The sequence below is a fragment of the Homo sapiens genome, chromosome 11 (assembly GCF_000001405.40).
Source record: "Homo sapiens chromosome 11, GRCh38.p14 Primary Assembly".
Classification (NCBI taxonomy): Eukaryota; Metazoa; Chordata; class Mammalia; order Primates; family Hominidae; genus Homo; species Homo sapiens.
The window spans coordinates 116,029,075-116,047,396 of NC_000011.10; the positions used below are offsets into that span (position 1 = coordinate 116,029,075).

At 43.6% G+C, this 18,322-nt stretch overlaps 1 long non-coding RNA gene across 3 annotated transcripts in view; it reads right to left on the bottom strand.

Annotated features, from left to right (window-relative positions):
• Positions 1–3,999: 3,999 nt before the first annotated feature.
• LOC105369513 (uncharacterized) overlaps positions 4,000–18,322 on the bottom strand; it is a 47,986-nt gene continuing 33,663 nt past the window's right edge. For all 3 annotated transcript variants that reach the window (XR_948056.2, XR_948057.2, XR_948055.2), the window contains 3 exons: positions 6,487–6,665; positions 4,656–4,743; positions 4,000–4,401 (listed from right to left, as the gene is read on the bottom strand). This is a non-coding gene — a long non-coding RNA (uncharacterized LOC105369513). The remainder of the gene's footprint in view (positions 4,402–4,655; positions 4,744–6,486; positions 6,666–18,322) is intronic.

Sequence of the window (18,322 nt, forward strand, 5' to 3'; positions counted from 1 at the left end):
AAAAAAAAAAAAAAAAAAAAAAAAAAAAAACAGTAGATGTTGGCATGGATGCAGTGAACAGGGAACAATTCTACACTGCTGGTGGGAATGTCAACTAGTACAGCCACTATGGAAAACAGTGTGGAGATTCCTTAAAGAGCTAAAAGTAGAACTACCATTTGATCCAGCAATCCCACTACTGGGTATCTACCCAGAGGAAATGAAGTCATCATTATTTGAAAAAGATACTTGCACACACATGTTTATAGTGGCAAAATTCACAATAGCAAAATCGTGGAACCAACCCAAATGCCCATCAATCAACAAGTGGATAAAGAAACCGTGGTATATATGTAGGAAGGAATACTACACAGTCATAAAAAGGAATAAATTAACAGCATTTGCAGTGACCTGGATGAGATTGGAGACTGTTATTCTAAGTGAAGTAACTCAGTAATAGAAAACCAAACATCGTATGTTCTCACTGATACGTGGGAGCTAAGCTATGAGGATGCAGGGCATAAGAATGATACAATGGACTTTGGGGACTTGGGAGAAAGAGTGGGAGGGGCTGAGGCATAAAAGACTACAAATATGGTGCAGTGTATACTGCTCGGGTCAAGGGTGCATGAAAATCTTACAAATCACCACCAAAGAACTTACTCATGTAACTAAACACCACCTGTACCCCAATAAGTTATGAAAAAAAATTTAAAAATAAAATAAAATGCATGTAATATACCTAAAAAAAGAAGTGATTACATCATAAGGGCTCAGCCTTTATGAATGAATTAATGCTATTATTGTGGGAGTAGTCTAGTTATTTTGGGAATGGGTTTCTGATAAAAGGATGAGTTTAGCCTCTTTTCTGTTTCTTGCAAATACTGTTTTTTCCTTCCACCTTCTGCCATGGAATTGCGTAGCAAGAAGACCTTCACCAGACGCAGCCCCTCAGTCTCACACTTCTCAACCTCCATAACCATGAGCCAAATAAATTTCTGTCCGTTAAAAATTAACCAGTCTATGGTATTGTTATAGCAGCACAAAGTGTGCTAAGACAACATCTATTTCTCTCATCATACCCTACTTTGATTAAAACCTCTTGTCACCTAATTCATTTATTCTCTTCTATTTCCAACATGTTTCCATTGAACGTTTAGTTTCAAAGTTTGCATTTTTATTACTATTTGGTTCCTTTTCAAATTTGCCAGTTCTGTTTCATAGGGCATTTTTCATGTCATAGAGTCTACATTACTTTTTAAAGGTCGTTATTCATTTTAAGTATAATTATTCTATATAATCTTTCAAACTGCCATTCTATTATGTGAAATTTTTGATGTTCAAATCTTTCTGTTAGTTGCATATGCTGATTCTCAGTCATGGTAGACCACTTCCATGTGTATTTTGTCCATTTTTATTGTGAGCTCATATTTAGTAAAATTTTTTTCCCTGTGAAAATTCATTGCAGATCATACTGTGGGAGCAAAGTTCCAAAGCAGATAACATTTTCTTCAATCAGCAGTTCCCAGGGATTTGTTGAGCAGGAACCTATTTTTATGTTAAGTTACTCACTTGGACTTTCTAGACAACAGGGTTATTAATAAATTTGGACCTCAAACTCAGGTAGTACGTAGACTCAGGTTTTCTAGTTTACCGAGAACATTTGCTTTTATCATCCAGAGCACAGGTAGCAGAAAATAAACCTCTTTATGGTTGCCCCGTGATCATAGGTTACTTCTTTTTCTCATTTCACATATTCATTGGGTGTGTGCATTTTGAGTTGATCTTGGTTTTATGCATAGATCTCAATTTCACTTCTCTGCCTTGTGTGAACACAAGGTTACCAAGACAAAAATCTCTCCCATTCCACCCCCTCCAGGGCATTTGCAGCATCAGTCAAACTAGTCCCTGGGTCCTAGTTTTCTCATTCATGTAAAAACATTTTTCTTGAGAAAGAAAACAAGATTGTTTTTGTTTAAATATTAAACATTTCTAGATGACTCTAGTGGAAGATTTTCAGATTATGATTTACCATTTTTCTAAAACCACAAGGCACACTTCTTCTTCCATAATGACCGTGCTTCCCATTAGATAGGTAATCAAATGGCAGCAAAAGTGCCCTTTTGTTTTAACTGGGTCATTTCTACCTTTGTAAACTTCAACACTTGATCGCAATTGTCTCCATCCACCTTTGATTTTATTTTTTAGCAAAGTTCTTTTAGTTGTAAGTATCAAAAACAAACAAGCAAAATTTGAAACAAAGCTACTTAAGCTTGGGTGAAGGTGGGGATTATTCCAAAGACACAGGAATATTTTAAGGACATGGAGGCGGAGCAGTTGAGTCTCAGAACGGACTAGAAAGCTGTCAGGTGCCTCTCTCTGCACATCTGCCTTTTTCTTCTCCACCTTCCTTCAGATTGGTCTCCCCACTTCATGTGCACATGGCCAAACATGGCTACCATACAGCTCACCAGTTTGCTGTTCCTCTGTTCAAGGGACCATCTCAGATTGAAACTAACCTCTTGGTCTCCTTTCCCAACTCCTAGGGAAAGGATTGGATTGGTCCTCCTGGGTCAGGAGTCTAACTGGGTCCTGTGACCTAGGGATGAGGGATCGGGGATACATAATATAAAGAGTTTCTGGACCACACTCCTGTATCAGGCAGTAGTTGAAGAGCAGGGTGACCAAGGATTGGGAAGGCACACCAAAGATAGTTATTACATTCCTAAGCAGAAGTGTCATCCTCCACATCATTTTTCAGAGTGAACCAGAGTTTGACAGAGGGCATCAATGAATAGAGGTAGAGAAGGGTCTTAGCAGATGCCATTAGCCTCAAATTATGATGCAGCATTTCCACATAAGAGAAAGAATAATGATCCAGAAACAAGTGGAGAACTAGGAGGACTTTGAGCCCCAGCCCCTCCCTTATGTAGATGACACTAGGTGAGTGGGAGAATAAAAGAGTATCTCATGGAGAGGACACAGAGGAAGCCCTGACCACCAGGGGGAAGCTGAGTGTTTAATTAGAGCAGGAGGTCTAGGGCACTGGCAACAAAGTTGAGTATACAGGAATTTATTTATTTATTTATTGAGATGGAGTCTCACTCTCTCACCCAGGCTGGAGTGCAGTGGCGTGATCTCGGCTCACTGCAACCTACACTTCCTGGGTTCAAGCAATTCTCCTGTTTCAGCTTCCCAAGTAGCTGGGATTACAGGTGCATGCCACCACACCCAGCTAATTTTTGTATTTTTAGTAGAGACAGGGTTTCACCATATTGGTCAGGCTGGTCTCAAACTCCTGACCTCAGGTGATGGCACCCGTTTCGGCCTCCCAGAGTGCTGGAATTACAGGCATGAGCCACCACGCCCAGACAGGAATTTTTTTTTTTAAACAATTAATTAGGTCTGGATTGGAAATAAGTTAACACCCACAGGGCAGCTGCCAGGTGAGGGCTGGGGTGAAGAGCTGTTTGGGAAGAATTTGCAGGTACACGTGAGCTGAGATGTGGTGAGACAGAGATGGACACAACTGCTGAGGGCTGCCTCCCTGTTGAATCTGGAGCTGGCCAAGGTGCTCAGGGGTTATTGGATTTTATTTCCTTTGAACATATCTTTTATTCTCTACCTCTTTTTTTCTACTCTTTTCTTTCAGTTTATAGCAACCCATCTTTAAGATCCAGTTCATATTCCACTTCTCTTGTGAGGCCTTTCCTGACCACCCTAATCTCCAGCAACCTCACCTGCCTCCTGTGGTCCTCCTCGTCTGCTCCATTCACTCGGTGGTGAACCATGCCCTGCCTCGTGCTGTTCTCCTGAGCTGCTCCTGTTCTCCTCTGTTATTACTGAACAATCAGTGGTTCACCTCATGTTTTACCAAAAGGACTGAAAGATCAAGGAGGTGGAAACACAACTTGTACTTTCTTTTATCTGCGGTAGCATCGTAGATAGTGGCCCTCATGTAGCAGGTATTTAATGTGTGTTTATGAGCTTTGGCAAATCACTCTGCGACATTTAGTTTATCTAATTGTCAACAAAAGCTAATAACATCGACTATCCATTCACTTATTCTGTCTTTTGGGAGATGTTTCTTGAGCACCTACTCTGTATAAGGGTGAGTTTGTGGAGTGAAAACTTATTAACGGGATCGCTAGAATCAGCAAATAAGATAAAAAACAGTAAAAAATGCCATGCAAAGCAGGAAGCACTGAGGAAAGAAAGACGTTATTTAAACATTCACATTTAGACATTGGAACATTAACTAAATTATTTCATAAGCTCCCTCCTGAGTTCCCGTAGCACTCTGAGCATACAGTACCTATATTACAGCACTTACCACATTGTATTATAGTTATTTGTGTCTGTTTCCATCTCTGCCCCAGACTGTGAGCTTCAACACGGAATCTCCAGCACTAAGCACAGTGCCTGCCATATAATGGGCCTCAGTAAATATTTTAAATAAATTAATGAGTAAAATAAAATCAGCATCCAATGGTTCTCACACTACAAAAATGTACTCAGACAACAAGCACACTGAGGAAAATTCTGTCCTAGGACTCTTGTGGAGAGGGTAACAAATAGAAAACAAAATATAGATTTTGCCTTGAAGGAGCTTATAAATGGAATGGAAAACAGAGCGCATGCCTTTGAACATGTCTAAAGATGATGTATCCAATTACCTAAAAGCAGTCACATTTTCAAATTCTGACAGATGTTGATGGATGTCAGAAAAACCATAGAGGCAGGAGATGTTCATTGGGGTGCTTCCTGGAGAAACAAGAAATTAATGGGAGGCCTTGGCAAGATAAACAAAATTCACAGAATTCCCTACACTATGGGTGGAGAGGGGGAGTGGGCCACTGACTATTTGCAAAGATATCTGAGAGCTCATAGTGCTTGCAAGAGATGTTCTGTTCCTCTGTTGGAGACACACACCCAACACACAGGCTTGTGCACACACACACACACAGGCATACACTCATATCTGTGGCTAGAGGGGTGGGGTGATGGGCTTGAAGTGCTTCCCCTCTTTGGAGAGAAATCCTCTCTCCTCAAGTGCTTCTCCGTTTGCTTTCACGTCAACCCTTTGAAGGCAGCAGCTTTGCTGATCTCAAGAGCTCTCTCCCGGGGCTGTACTCACTCCGCAAGTGCCCCCATTTCCAGGATGTGACACAGAACTCATTCGATTACGAGTCTTTGTTCCAATCCCTTTGATCATCTTAGGAACAGGTAATTTGAGTAGGTCAGCAGAGGGCAGAGCAAGGGGGACAATTGTTTATCTACCTCAAGGTTGGAGGTGGGAAGCACAGACACCTGCTACTGGGGGTGGTGGTGCTGGTGGGCGGTGAGGAGGCTTTGAGCCTAGCTCATAATCTGCCTTCATCAAACGACATCCAGAAATGTGGCCTCAGTCCTCACCCTACAATAGGAACTCCATGTTCATTGATTCAACAAATGTTTATTATACTACTATGATATGCTAGCTATTATTCTAGGTGCTAAAATTATATTCTAGGAATATGACTTTAAACAAAAGAAAAAAGTTAACTGGTGTCATGAAGATTATATTCAAGTAGGAAAAATAAAGAAAATCTGCAACTTTATTTTATACAAGACAATGTATGGCTACTAAGAGAATAAACAGTGATATAGAGAGAGAGGTCCAGGAAGATCTCCCTGAAGTGGAAATAGTTGAGCCAATACTTAAAGGGCAGTAAGGGACCGGCCATATCAAGAACTAAGGAAAGGGTATTCCAGGGAGAGAGAACTGCAAGCTCAAAGCTGCTGAGGCAGGGACAAGACTGGAAACTCTAAGATGTGTGCACGTGCTGGCACACATAGGCGCGCGCGCATGCGCGCGCGCGCGCGCACACACACACACACACACACACACACACACACACACACTGGCCTAACGCAGGGAGTGAGAGGGCATTAAGGAGGAGAATTAAGACAGAAGATTGCAAGGCCAGATCACACAGGCTTAGTAACTATGGTAATGCACTGGGATCTTATTCCAAGTGTAACGAGAAGCCATTGAACCATTTGAATCAGAGAAATGATGTGATGACCCGCTGACCCCCAGAAAGGCTTGATATCTGGCCTGTCTCATGGGAGGTGGCAGCTATTGTGCAAAATCTTAAGAGTAGTGGAACTTCCCATGTGAGCGCAGACTCCTCCCCTCTCCTGAAACATGGAATTTGCCCATAGAGAAGTTGGCCACCATCCTGAACGAGTGCTTTAACATATATCGAACTGGAAAGTCCAGAAAGTTGAGGCTACCTCTTTTGTGTGGGCTCCTTAAAAACTCAGGCCGATGAGGGGATAGAAGACTGATTAAAACTGTCTCATGGGGGTCACTTAAAATCACTAAGGCCACCTCAAAATTATTCCAGACACGCTGGTTCTTATTCCACATTGAATTTCTTTCTAATATGCATCTTCTTTTGTTGATGTACCCCACTGGTTTCCCCTCTGGGATTTTCCCATTGTCTAGTCCAAACTCCTCACCTTATGACTTATCCCAACTTCTTCCTCACCTAGAAGGCACCTTACAGAACATTTAATCCAATCTGCTTAGTTTATTGATGAGTAAATGGAGATCCAAGGAAGGGAAGTGACTTGATAAAAATCATTCAATCCAGGTCTTTCAGTCCCAATCTTATCTCCTTCCAGTATTCTTAGTTAGCCTGAAGATGGACAAATTAGGTAAATTTAGACTGGTATTGTGGTTCAGAAAAAAAAACCCCAAATAAACAACAGTTAATGCAAAGTTCCCAGCATCGAGAGTCTGGAAAATGAAAAGACGGGAGTCACTGGAAATCTCCTTGAGCTCTAGAATCTGAAAGTCAGAACCTCCAAAATAAGCAGGGGCCAGAGGGGGCACTGATGGGGGTGAAAATCCCATGGATGTTTTTACATCTGCAGGTGGTTTCATGTGAAATATCAGCAGTTGGGGGAGGGGACCGACAGCAAGTGCTTGCTCTTAATTCACAGGAGCCAGGTGGCTCACCCTGGGGCCAGGGAAGATAGGTGCAGGGGCAGGGGAGGGCCAGCTCTCTTTGAGGGGTGAAGGGGATGGGCCCTGGTAATCCAATATCCTCTCGGCGCCACTGAGCGCTCCAGCCCAAATCCATCACTGTAAATGAACCAGGTGACAGGATTAAATATCCCCTAATTGCAGTCCCCCGGGAGGGGCTGTGCCAGCTGTCTCTTCCACATGCCTAGCCCAGCAGATGGGAGATCAGATATCAAAGGGTCACTTCTGACAGGACAGGAGGCAGCCTGGGTCCTGGCCACCTGGGCCAAGTGGAAGGAGGGACTGAGGGCAGATTGGGGTGCTCAAATGTGTCTGAAAAACAGAATTATTTAGTACTGTCTGGCCCCTTGGCTCCTTTGTAGTAAGGTCTGCACGACTCCATGGCTGCAACTTATTTGTCCTCCTCATTGCCAGGACAGGATCTGGGCTCCTGCCTCTTGTCCTCCCGCCATCTGAAACTTGCTGCTAGAGATGGATTTGTGTCACAGAAAATTGGATACAGCCGAGGGTATGCAGGAGGTCACCTGCTCCCGCCCCTGCCTCTAGGCAAGCCTGCGTCTCACTGAACTCTAAGAGGCAAAAATTTCTCATCTTTCCTTCCAGCACTCTCAGGAATGATATTCTACAGTTTTGCTTGGTTGTGTATTCCAGCATTCTAAGCTTAAATATACGGCACTTTCTCCAAATTTACTGAGGATTGAGCAAGAAGAAATGCAACTTACATTTCAGCTCAAGAAATGGACTTCAGTGCTAAGTAAAAGCTCCTGGCCACGGGAGGATGTATGGGGGTTCTCACTTGGCTGGGCTGAGAATGCCCCTGGCAGGGGGCAGTTCAGGGTGACTTCTGATAGGCTCTCTGCCCTTTCTTTCCTCTAAGACCTTTTCATTTGGGAAGCTCTGCCACCATCTCACCTCAACACTACTCTACCAAACTACAACACTACCAAAACTGGCTCCCATCAAAGGGCTCTGTGCAGTTCTGTGGGAATAAGATGTATTTTCATTTCACCGAAATCATGATATTGCAAAATCATCAGGAGCAAGTGTGAGACAAGAATAGCTCCCCATCCAGAAAGTCCGGACCACAAGGCAAGGTAAAAATTTGCTTGCCAAACCTCACTGAGGCTCAGGTAAAAAGTAAAAACAGCCATCAAAAAGGCCACTCAGGGCCCACCACGAGAAGACTGCAAAAGGCTCCAGTGACCTTTGAAGCAACACGATTATTGAAAATGATAAGACTTCACTGGGGCGGGTTAGCAGGGGACAGGGGAAGGTCCTCAGTTCAGTTTTCTTTGGTGAAGCTAGAGAGCTCCAGGTCATCAGGCCCTAGACCGAGGAGAGAGTCTGATGCCGGTCCAGCTCTAACTGATTGCTTTTCTTTTGCATTTGTTCATTCACTAATTTAACAAATACAGTATTTTCAAGGTTCTCCTATAGAAATATGCTAAGGGGTACAAAGGTGATAAAAACTGATACTGTCTTCACCCTAGGGATCATGTGCCTGTTCAATTTGCAAAGTCAGTCACTGCATTGCTCTGAAGTTCAACTTTATCATCCATCAAACGGAAGTTGTGACATCTACCCCAGGTTCTTCATAGTGTTGTTGAGAGGTGGTTCACACGTGATGACTGAGGGAAAAGTGCTCTGGAAAAGCTCTTTTGCAGGCGAATAGAAGTGTGCAGTATTTGGAGTATTGCTTTAGCTCTGAGAACAATGTGGCTAAGTCACCAGGGAGCTGACTTAGACCTCCTTCCCTTTCTTCCTTTGATTTTCCCCTCCTCTTTCTCAAGCGCTAAACAGAGACTTAGTCCAAAGAGAACCAACCCATGCTTGATGATAAAAGGAACAATGGGATTTCTGGGTCATCCTCTGGGCCCACAGACAGGAGGGCTGCAGTCCAGGATGCCAGACAAACCAGGTTATTTTGGAGCAAGCCAGCAGCAGAACTGTAGGCTGAGAACAAAGGATTTGGCCCATGTCCATATCCCTGCAGGGGTCACGTACCAGCTGAACACATCAGCCTTTAGTTATGTTCCCATTTTAGGAAAACCAGAAATAGGGAATCTCAACATAATTTCCCACTCTGAAAACCACAGTTGGTGGGAGAAACATGGTTCCTGGTCATGGCTGATAGATAGGGTGTTTCCATATAAACCAGTGGCCCAAATGTTGGAATTACCTGGGAAATCTGTCAACATATAGGCATTCAACTTCCACCATGAGAAATTCTGATTTTGAAGGGTTGGGGTTGAGCCTGGGAAGTGATTCTGATGCACAGAGAGCTTGAGAACCTCATCTATAGACGATCGGCATGGGCCACTATCTTGTCTGCTTTTGTTATACGTTTTGGAAAAAGTACAAGGCCTGGCACAGAGTAGGCACTCAATACATGTTTCTCGACTGAATATATTAACATATACCCAAATACACTCAAAGAAAAAGCAATACATGGCACAAGTCAAAAATTTTCTAAGGCTTAGAGGTCCTCTAAAATTCACTTGGATCTGACTGTCTTTCTGACTTCCAATTCTCAGGGTACAAAATTGAGGAACCTAGATTTGAGTTTCTTGTGTTTTGCTTCCATTGGAACAAAACAGAACCAATATAAAAATGGTTTTTCTTGTTTCTTTTCTCATCACATATTATAATTATTATTATTGCCTTATCAGTAATAACAGTAATAATAAATTATTTTACTTTCATTGTCTCATTTCCTCATTGTGGATCTTATGAAAGAGATAAAGAATTATTATCCCCACTTTACAAATGAAAAACAAAATGTGTAGAAAGGTCATGTATCATATCTACCCTGCGATTCACACGATTGGAAAATAGCAGGATGAGACTCAAACCTCCTCACTCACAATCTGATGTTCTTAGCACTAGACAAAGCTTGCAAAAGAACCGCTACAAATCTGCTTCCAGTGAGCTCCCACCTATGTCATTCCAATGTGCAAAATAGGACTGAAATCATCCACAAATCACTGGGGTGTGTTCCTTTTCCAAAGAATCCCTTTTTACAAAAGTTCTTCATCTTATGTGGGATCATTAAGAGGTTGAGTAAGACAGATAATGTAAAGAATCACTCACTGCTAATTGAAATGCAGGGAAATCATTTCTGAAATTATAATGTAAGTTAATAGAAAAGAAAGGAATTTGTTCTGCAAAAATCTGGCCTATGTGTGACTTTAGGAGTGTACCTATTGCAGAAAAGTCAGGTAAATGTGTGCACTCATATACCAGGCTTCTATAAGAAATCCAGTCCTGAATTGAAAATAAATTGATAAATAAGCTGCTTTTCCCTTCTGTTCTCCTGGAGCCAGGTCCTCATGCTATTAGAACATTCCAGCATCGCAGCAACTGTCCTCAGTCAGACCACAGGCTCATGTATTTTCAACCAGGCAACTTGGACTGAAAGAAGCTTTCAATGGAGCCCAACAAAATCATCACAGCCTTAGACTGGATCTAGATGATGCCCAAGAATAAAAAGTAAAGGCAATGTTCTGAATATTTTAAACTTTTACACTTTTAAAATGTCGTTCACTTCAAATACAAAGATAATGACTGAATATTTAGCCCAACCTTTTACCCTACATATTTTAAGCAATGCCTAATTTATGACTTTTCTTAACTCCTGTCTGATCAATTCATCCTGAAGTCAATTTGATTAAATAGCCAAATAAAAGATACTTTATTTTAATGTCTCGTTATTCCAAGGAATGAGACAACTGACAAAATAGACTGATAATCTTCACAATGGGACTCTGAGTCTGTAGAAAGATGGGGTAGGAACTAGGAAGTCACCAGCTTCCCGATATGGAGCTGCTTGCTATGAGTCAAGACCGAAGCAGACATGAGCAGAGCACAGGTGTCCTTATTCTCTGTAGGTGTCTCTAAGGCTCAGACAGAGGGACAATTCTTGTCCCTGAAGAATCTTGATTGCCTTATGAAGCAGCTTGGCTTCCCTCCAGCCCTCTCTCCCCCCCTCCCTTCTCCTACCCTTAGCCTCCAGGTCCCTGTCAGTTCTAACAGGGAGTGGGGATTGGTCAGGCCATTCATTGGTTCTGAAGTTTCTTCTACTTAAACCAATTTGTTAGGTACTTCGTGATTTACAGCCACAGTGGAAAATGGGGCTGGGTATTGATTCTTGGCCTTTTCTATTGCAAATGGGTGTAATGTTTTATAGTATGTCAGAATAATAGCAGTGGGCACTCTATCAATGTCAAATGTTAAAAATGATCAGCTATTGTGATGTAGGAGATTAAATATGAAAGCTTGATGGGTATATAAAAGTGAAATGGCAATAATAAAGGGATTTTTATGTTCTGCTCATTGCTCTCTGGAATCCACCTGGGGAACTATTAGAGCCAATTGTGCTGATCAGTGACATATCACCATGGGTTAAAGGACAGGACAGGTGTGTCCCTCCGCAGGTGCTGTTTGGCCTGGCAAAATGGAATGAGAGAACTAGGGTAGAGAGGTTGAAGTTCATATGGCCGTACCTTTGGGAGCTTGAGTCTAATTCCCCAGGTGACTAGAAAGAAAAGGTACAAGGCAACCGAGAGCCAATCAGAAGTGCCAGAGGTCACTATGACCCTTCTCTGCTGCAATGACGGCTCCATCTCTAAAGCTAGTGGAGAGAATCCATCCCCTCCTGTAAGGTACCCTGAGATGACAATCCTATTCTATACAACAAGACCAGACCTCATTGGCCATCTTACATAGTCAACTTTCTCAGGGAATTGAGGCCCAGAGAAGTAGAGATATGTCCAAGGCCAGCAGATGAGTAGCAGAGGTGGACCAAACCAAGGCCAAGGCAGGGCAACCCCATCTGCCCTCAGCTGCAATAGGTGTCTGAAGCTGTCATGATCCTCTAGATCAGTGCTGGCCAATATAAAAATACAGAGATCCACACATGTTTTTTAAATGTTCTTACAGCCACATTTAAAAAGTAAAATCAAGCAGGTTAGGTTAACTTTAACAATATATTTTATTTAACCTAACATGGATGAAATTATATTCTTTCAATATGTAATCAATATAAAATTATTGAGATGCTTTATATTCTTTGTTTCATACAGTCTGTGGGTGTATTTTGCACTTAACAGCACAGCTCAATTAGGACGAGCCACATTTCAAGTGCTCAATAGCCCCATGTAGCTACTAGCTATGTATTGTAAGTGTGCCTCAACTGATACGTGCAGGGCAGGGAAAGGTATACATATGCCCTAGGGAAGCATTGTGTAGTTTGAAAAAGCAAAGAAATCCTAAAATATACTTAGAACACACACAAAAAATCTAGTTTATAAACACAAATTACAGACAGCAAACTTTGACAAAATCTTAATGAAGAGACTCTGAAGAAGAACTGTCAATCACATATGAGGGCTTCTCAGTGAGGTATGAAAGTTGTATTAGAATTTCTAGGGCTTTTAAAGGGTCTGGGATTTTTTAATGTTTACCAAAACATAAAAAAGCATGGATTTACAAAGACTAAGGAACATACTAGCCCTTTGGGGAAGAGCAGCTTCTCAGATGATGTTTTTGTCATCCTAAGTTATCAAACTCATTTCCTGAGAGAAGAAGAAAGTACAAGGACTGCATAGTCTTATGTGAAGGTGAAATTAAGTCTTAGATTTTATGTAGGACACCCAGTTAACTCTTGGAGGCATCCACATGCTGGAGTCATGGGTGGCCCTATCTCAAACACACAGGCAATGGGCAATCTTGTCGAATATTTTTGGATGGGTCCATCTATGTCCTGAAGCTTTCACTGGGTACACCAAGCATGGGGGAAAGAGAAGTCATGGTTCCCTGCTAAAATCTGGAGTTCTGGCCTGTCTGGCCCTGAACACCATGGCCAATGAGTAGGGAGGCAGGAGCTGGGGAAGAGCAGATACCAGGGTGCAGTTCAGCGCTCTCAGTGTTGCCGTTTCCAGGAGCAAGCAGACCATATAATGCACACAAAGCCAGCCTGAGAACTAACACCAGGTCCCTTTCAGCCAGAGACAGGTTGTCACTCTGACAGCTCTCAAGCCAATCAGCAGGGTAAATTAAGGTGTCCTTCTTTTTTTTTTTTTTTTTTTTCTTGAGGGGCAGGGGGTAGTTAAAATGCTGATCTCCAAGTGACAGGTTTCTGAGCTGGGAGTGAACTGTCACCACTGCCATCCTCACTCTGGAGCCTCTCAGGCGGAGCATGTCAGGGAAACCAGCAGGCTCCTTATAGACCTGCTTGCTCCCTAAGGGCATCCAGGCACAAGTCACGCTGTCTGATCTGCCTTCTGGGACCAAGTGGGTGAGAGTGCCAGTCTGCACCAGTTCCCATCGCACTGGGAGCCAGGGATCAACTTTCCACTTTTGAAAGAGAAACTCCTCCTTCTTGCCTTAATTGCAGCATTAATAATTAAGTGGGTGCTTTAATTGCATGGATCTCATTACGGAGTAACATTGGAAACATATGCACACAAAGGCACACACCTCCATGCACATACATGTATTCCGAAAGCCAGGCATCAAATCATTTCAAAGAATTATCGTAAGCAAAAATTCAAAATACAAAACAACAGGGATGTATGTATGCTTAATTACACGAGGACTTTATTAGCTGGCACTAATTAAAGCATGTTATGAAGTCTGACAAATATCTAAAATTACTCACTTTGGTAAATAGTTTTGACACGAGTAATTTATTTAAAACTAGAGCTCGGTAGAAAAGTTCAAGCAATTTTATTTTTGCCTGGGTAGCACATTATGTGATGTCTAGGGGGATAATTAACGATTAGTGGCTTAATGACAGAGGCACATTCATTATCCTGTTTCCTAACTCCTGCCAAGCCTTTAATGCTGAGTACTCAAGGCCCACTCTACCCTCAGCTCTATGAGAGCTGATCTTCTCCCGATAGATGAACCCATTTCACAGATGAGATTTTCTAAGGCCGAATGCCTGTTCTTTGGTCCAACCAAGATCACAGAGCACAGTCCTGGTCTTGCCCTTCCATGGCAACAGGAGTATTGAAAGGGACATTCCCCACTACCAACAGATTAAAGGAACATTCTAATCACTATGTTCTTCATGAACGCTTCTGCTATGGGTTGAATGTTTGTGCACTCCCCTCACACCAAATTTATAATCCTAACTCCCAAGCGCCCTTGCGGGGAGATTAGGTCATGAGGGTGGAGCCCCCATGGAAGATTAATGCCATTAGGCTGGGAAGATTGAGCCGTCAGGCTCAAGCCTGTAATCCCAGCACTTTGAGAGGCTGAGGAGGGCGGATCACTTGAGGCCAGGAGTTCAAGATCAGCCTGGCCAACAGGGCGAAACCCCATCTCTACTAAAAATACAAAAAAATTACCCAGACATGGTGGCACACACCTGTAATTCCAGCTACTCGGGAGGCTGAGGTAGGAGAATCACTTGAACCCGAAAGGTGGAGGTTGCAGTGTGAGCCGAGACCACGCCACTACACTCCCACCTGGGAAACAGCAAGACTCCATCTCAAATTAAAAAAAAAAAGAAAGAAAGAAAGAAAGAAAGAAAGAAAGAAAGAAAGAAAGAAAGAAAGAGAATCAGAAATCTGCCTTACCCCACCTGCCATGTGATGAGTTCACAGCAAGAAAGTCCTGTATAAACCAAGAAGCAGTGCCCTTACCAGATGCCAAAACTTCCAGCGCCTTGATCTTGGTCTTCCCAACCTCCAGAACCATGAAAAATACATTCCTGTTGTTGATAAGCCACCCAGTTTATGGTATTTTGTTAAGCAGCCTGAATGGACTAAGACACCCTCCTTATGTGGGGGTCCCAGACCAGAGGGCAGGCTCTATTATGAGTTAACTCTTTGGGCCTGTCTCTCAAGAGCTCAGGGCTGACCCAAGAAACAGCAACTTCATTAAAAAACTAGGAAGACCTTGCTGACCCTCTCACCAGCCCTTGCCTGTTAGCTTCCTCTTCTGCTGTAGTTCCTTTTCCTCCCCGCACTAGGGCAAAGAACAGAGCTATGTAGTTATCCACACGCACTGAGCTGTGCACACATGCAATCCAGGCCTCAGAGTTTCATCCCAAATGATCCAAATTAGCTTTGCACCCAAGAATGCAGCCTTCCCATACCCCTCTGCCTTAATCTGTTAGAGCTGCTGTAACAAAAATTTCATAAGCTTAGTGACTTATGAACAGCACAATTTACTTCTTACTGTACTAGAGGTTAGGAAGTCCAAGATCCGTGTCTGGTGAGGCATCTCTCTCTGCCTGATAGATTACAACCTCTTGCTGCATCCTCGTACAGTAGAAGGGGCTAGCCAGCCTTCTGGCATCTCTTTTATGAGGGTGTGAATTCTCTTCATGAGAATGGAGTCTTTATGATCTAGTCACATCCCAGTGGCCCCACCTCTTAATTCCATCACACTGGGGATTAGACTTCAACATATGGATTTTGCAGGGGACACAAATATTTAGGTCATATCACCTTCCTTAGCTTGGTTTTTATGCCTAACCAGAGTGCTTTATGTCCTACTCTGAGCAGCATGAATTTGAGGGGGCAGGGGAATGGACTAATTGACCTCCCGGGACTCTGTTCCAGTCTGTAAATCTGAGACAAGGAAAGGTCATGTCATAGTAAACACTGAGGCATGCCCCCCACTGTTCTTAACCTAGGTATACTTCCTGGAGGCAGGAAGAGGGACTCGGAAGGTTGCAATAAGATAACATCCTCTAATTCGTCACATAGCCCCGCAGAGGATTCCCCCTCCTTCTCCTTCTTGGTTTTTTTTTTTCTTTTCTTTTCTTTTCTTAAACTAAAGTTTGAAGCTAAATCCACTGTGGGCTGAAGGAGGCACTTTAAACTTCACTTGCTTCGAAGTTTAAATGGGAAGACTTGACAGGTATGCTAATGCTCCTCTATTAAGTCTGCAGAAAATGACATTAAAGGTATTGGTTAAAGACACGGCTCAGTGTTTGAGCAACTTAATGAAGTGTTACACACAAGCTGACCTTGTAGAGGGAGAAGCTCGCGGCTCTCTCAGCGTTTCAGGAGGCCCTGGCCACTCTGTTTGACATCTGAGCTTAACACCATCCCCAGACTCATTACTGTCTGCGAGGTTCCGGGAACTGCCAAGGGGGACACCAGCATTTGCTTGTAAAGTCCAGTGACAGAAAGGAGAGGTAAAAATAGTGGCTCCTGATCTTCGGCTTCGCGAGGCCAGAGGTGCTGGTTTGAATGACATGTTCAGTTTTCATAAACACGGCAGTGGTCCCCTGAGGGAGGCAGAGCAGGAGGAAAGGAGAGGCTCTTTGAGTGGGCAGTGTGGACAAGGGCAGCTGAGTGAAAAGGCCAGAACTTCCAGCTGATGTCTGATCGCCAAGTGGGCTGCTGGAGCTTGGAAGGGGGTCTCTGCCAGTAGAGCGGGCAACACCCCAGATCCTTCAGGATGAGGCCACCGGAAGTGTTCACTGGTGCTACAGAGATGTGAACCCCTAGAAAAGGGTCAGACAAATGGGGTTCCCAAGACCCCTCCAGCAACCCTACTCACTCACCAATCCATTTATTCACTCATCCAATGTTATTAAGCTATACATCACTCCTCTCCAACTATGCCCTATTTACTATACAAATGGTGAATATTCACTATACTGGTCTTCTGCAAGTGTCTGGAACATCCAAAGCTCCTCCCTACCACAGGGCCTTTGCACATACTCTTCCCTCTCCCTGCAGCGCTTTTCTTAGTTTTTCACAAAGATGACCACTTTAAGCCTGCCTATGTCAGCTTACATATACTCTTATCAGAGAGGCAGCTGAACAGCTCATGGAGCAGTATAAGGTCCACAGGTTTCGCTGAGTATTGTAATACCCTAATAATGATTTTATTTACAGTCCTTTGTATTAGCTTTTGAATGGCTTCTTCTACCTTCTAAAGTTCTTTCCCATGTTATCCTGTTTGAGCTTTCTAGCAACCTCATAAGGTGGACAGAGAATTTGCTGGCTATTCTTGTGTAGAGACAAGTGACCCATGGCTGGCAGAAGCTGTGAGTGTCCAGAAGACTCAAGTCATTCAACTCCCTGACCAGGACTATTTCTGCGACAGCAAATGGTCCATGTTTTTCTCTTAGTTGGGGAGGTGGATGTACATTGAAGAGCCAGGCTAGGAATGCAGATCCCCGAGCAGCTCGCCTTGGGGAGACGTGGTGGGTGAATGAGAAGCAGCATCAACAACAGCCACCTGCGTCTGTGTCTTCTGCATGTCACTGGCAGGACACAGAAACAGAAACAGCCAGGGCAGCCCCTGCCCACAGAAAGTGCTTACTCTCAGGCTAGGCCGAGGACAATGCACAGAGTGTCCTTGATGAGTCCCTTCTCTTCTCTACTATCTCCTTTTCCCTTCTCCTTGCCTCCCTTAGCCTGCACTGACAGCTGCTGCATCCCACCCCCTGCTTTAGTAAAGTTGGCTCCTTCAAGCGGACTTATTTGAAGGAAGAGCTGCAAGTCTGGGCTTTATAAGGAACCAACTTGTTGATCAACGAGCATCTGTAGAGTGCCTCCTCTGTGTCCTCCCCTCTGTTCAGGCTCAAAAAGTAATGATTGACATTATTGAACGCTGGCTACCGCATGGTCTGTCCTCAGCCACTAAAGCATGTCATTTCCCTTCACCCTCGTAGGAATCATGTGAGAGCTGCAGCCATGCCCCCATCTTTTAGGCGAGGAAACTGTGGATTAGAGAGGTAAATCCTTTGTTTAAGATCATAAACCAGGCTGGGCATGGTGGCTCATGCCTGTAGTCCCAGCACTTTGGGAGGCTGAGATGGGCAGATCACCTGAGGTCAGGAGTTTGAGACCAGCCTGGCCAACATGGTGAAACCCCATCTCTACTAAAAATACAAAAATTAGCTGGGCATGGTGGCAGGCGCTTATAGTCCCAGCTACTCAGGAGGCTGAGGCAGGAGAGTTGCTGGAACCTGGGAGGCGGAGTTTGCAGTGAGCTGAGATTGAGCCACTGCACTCCAGCCTGGATGACAAAGTGAGACTCCATCTCAAAAAAAGAAAAAAAAATCACAAACCAGTGGCCTGGATGTGAATGTTGGTCTGTCTGATTCAGAATCCCTGGGAATCAGAGAGCTCCACACACACCCAGGCCCCACGCTGCACACAGCAATCTGGGCTGACTCCATGGGTTTGGAGTTTGAGATACCAGATCTCAGAGGGATGCTAATTGCAATGGCCTTATGATGCGGTTCCCATTGCCATCATCATGAGTAGTTTTGTTCTAGGCTCTCTTGTAGGCATGTGACAATATCATTTCATTGAATTGTCAATAATAACT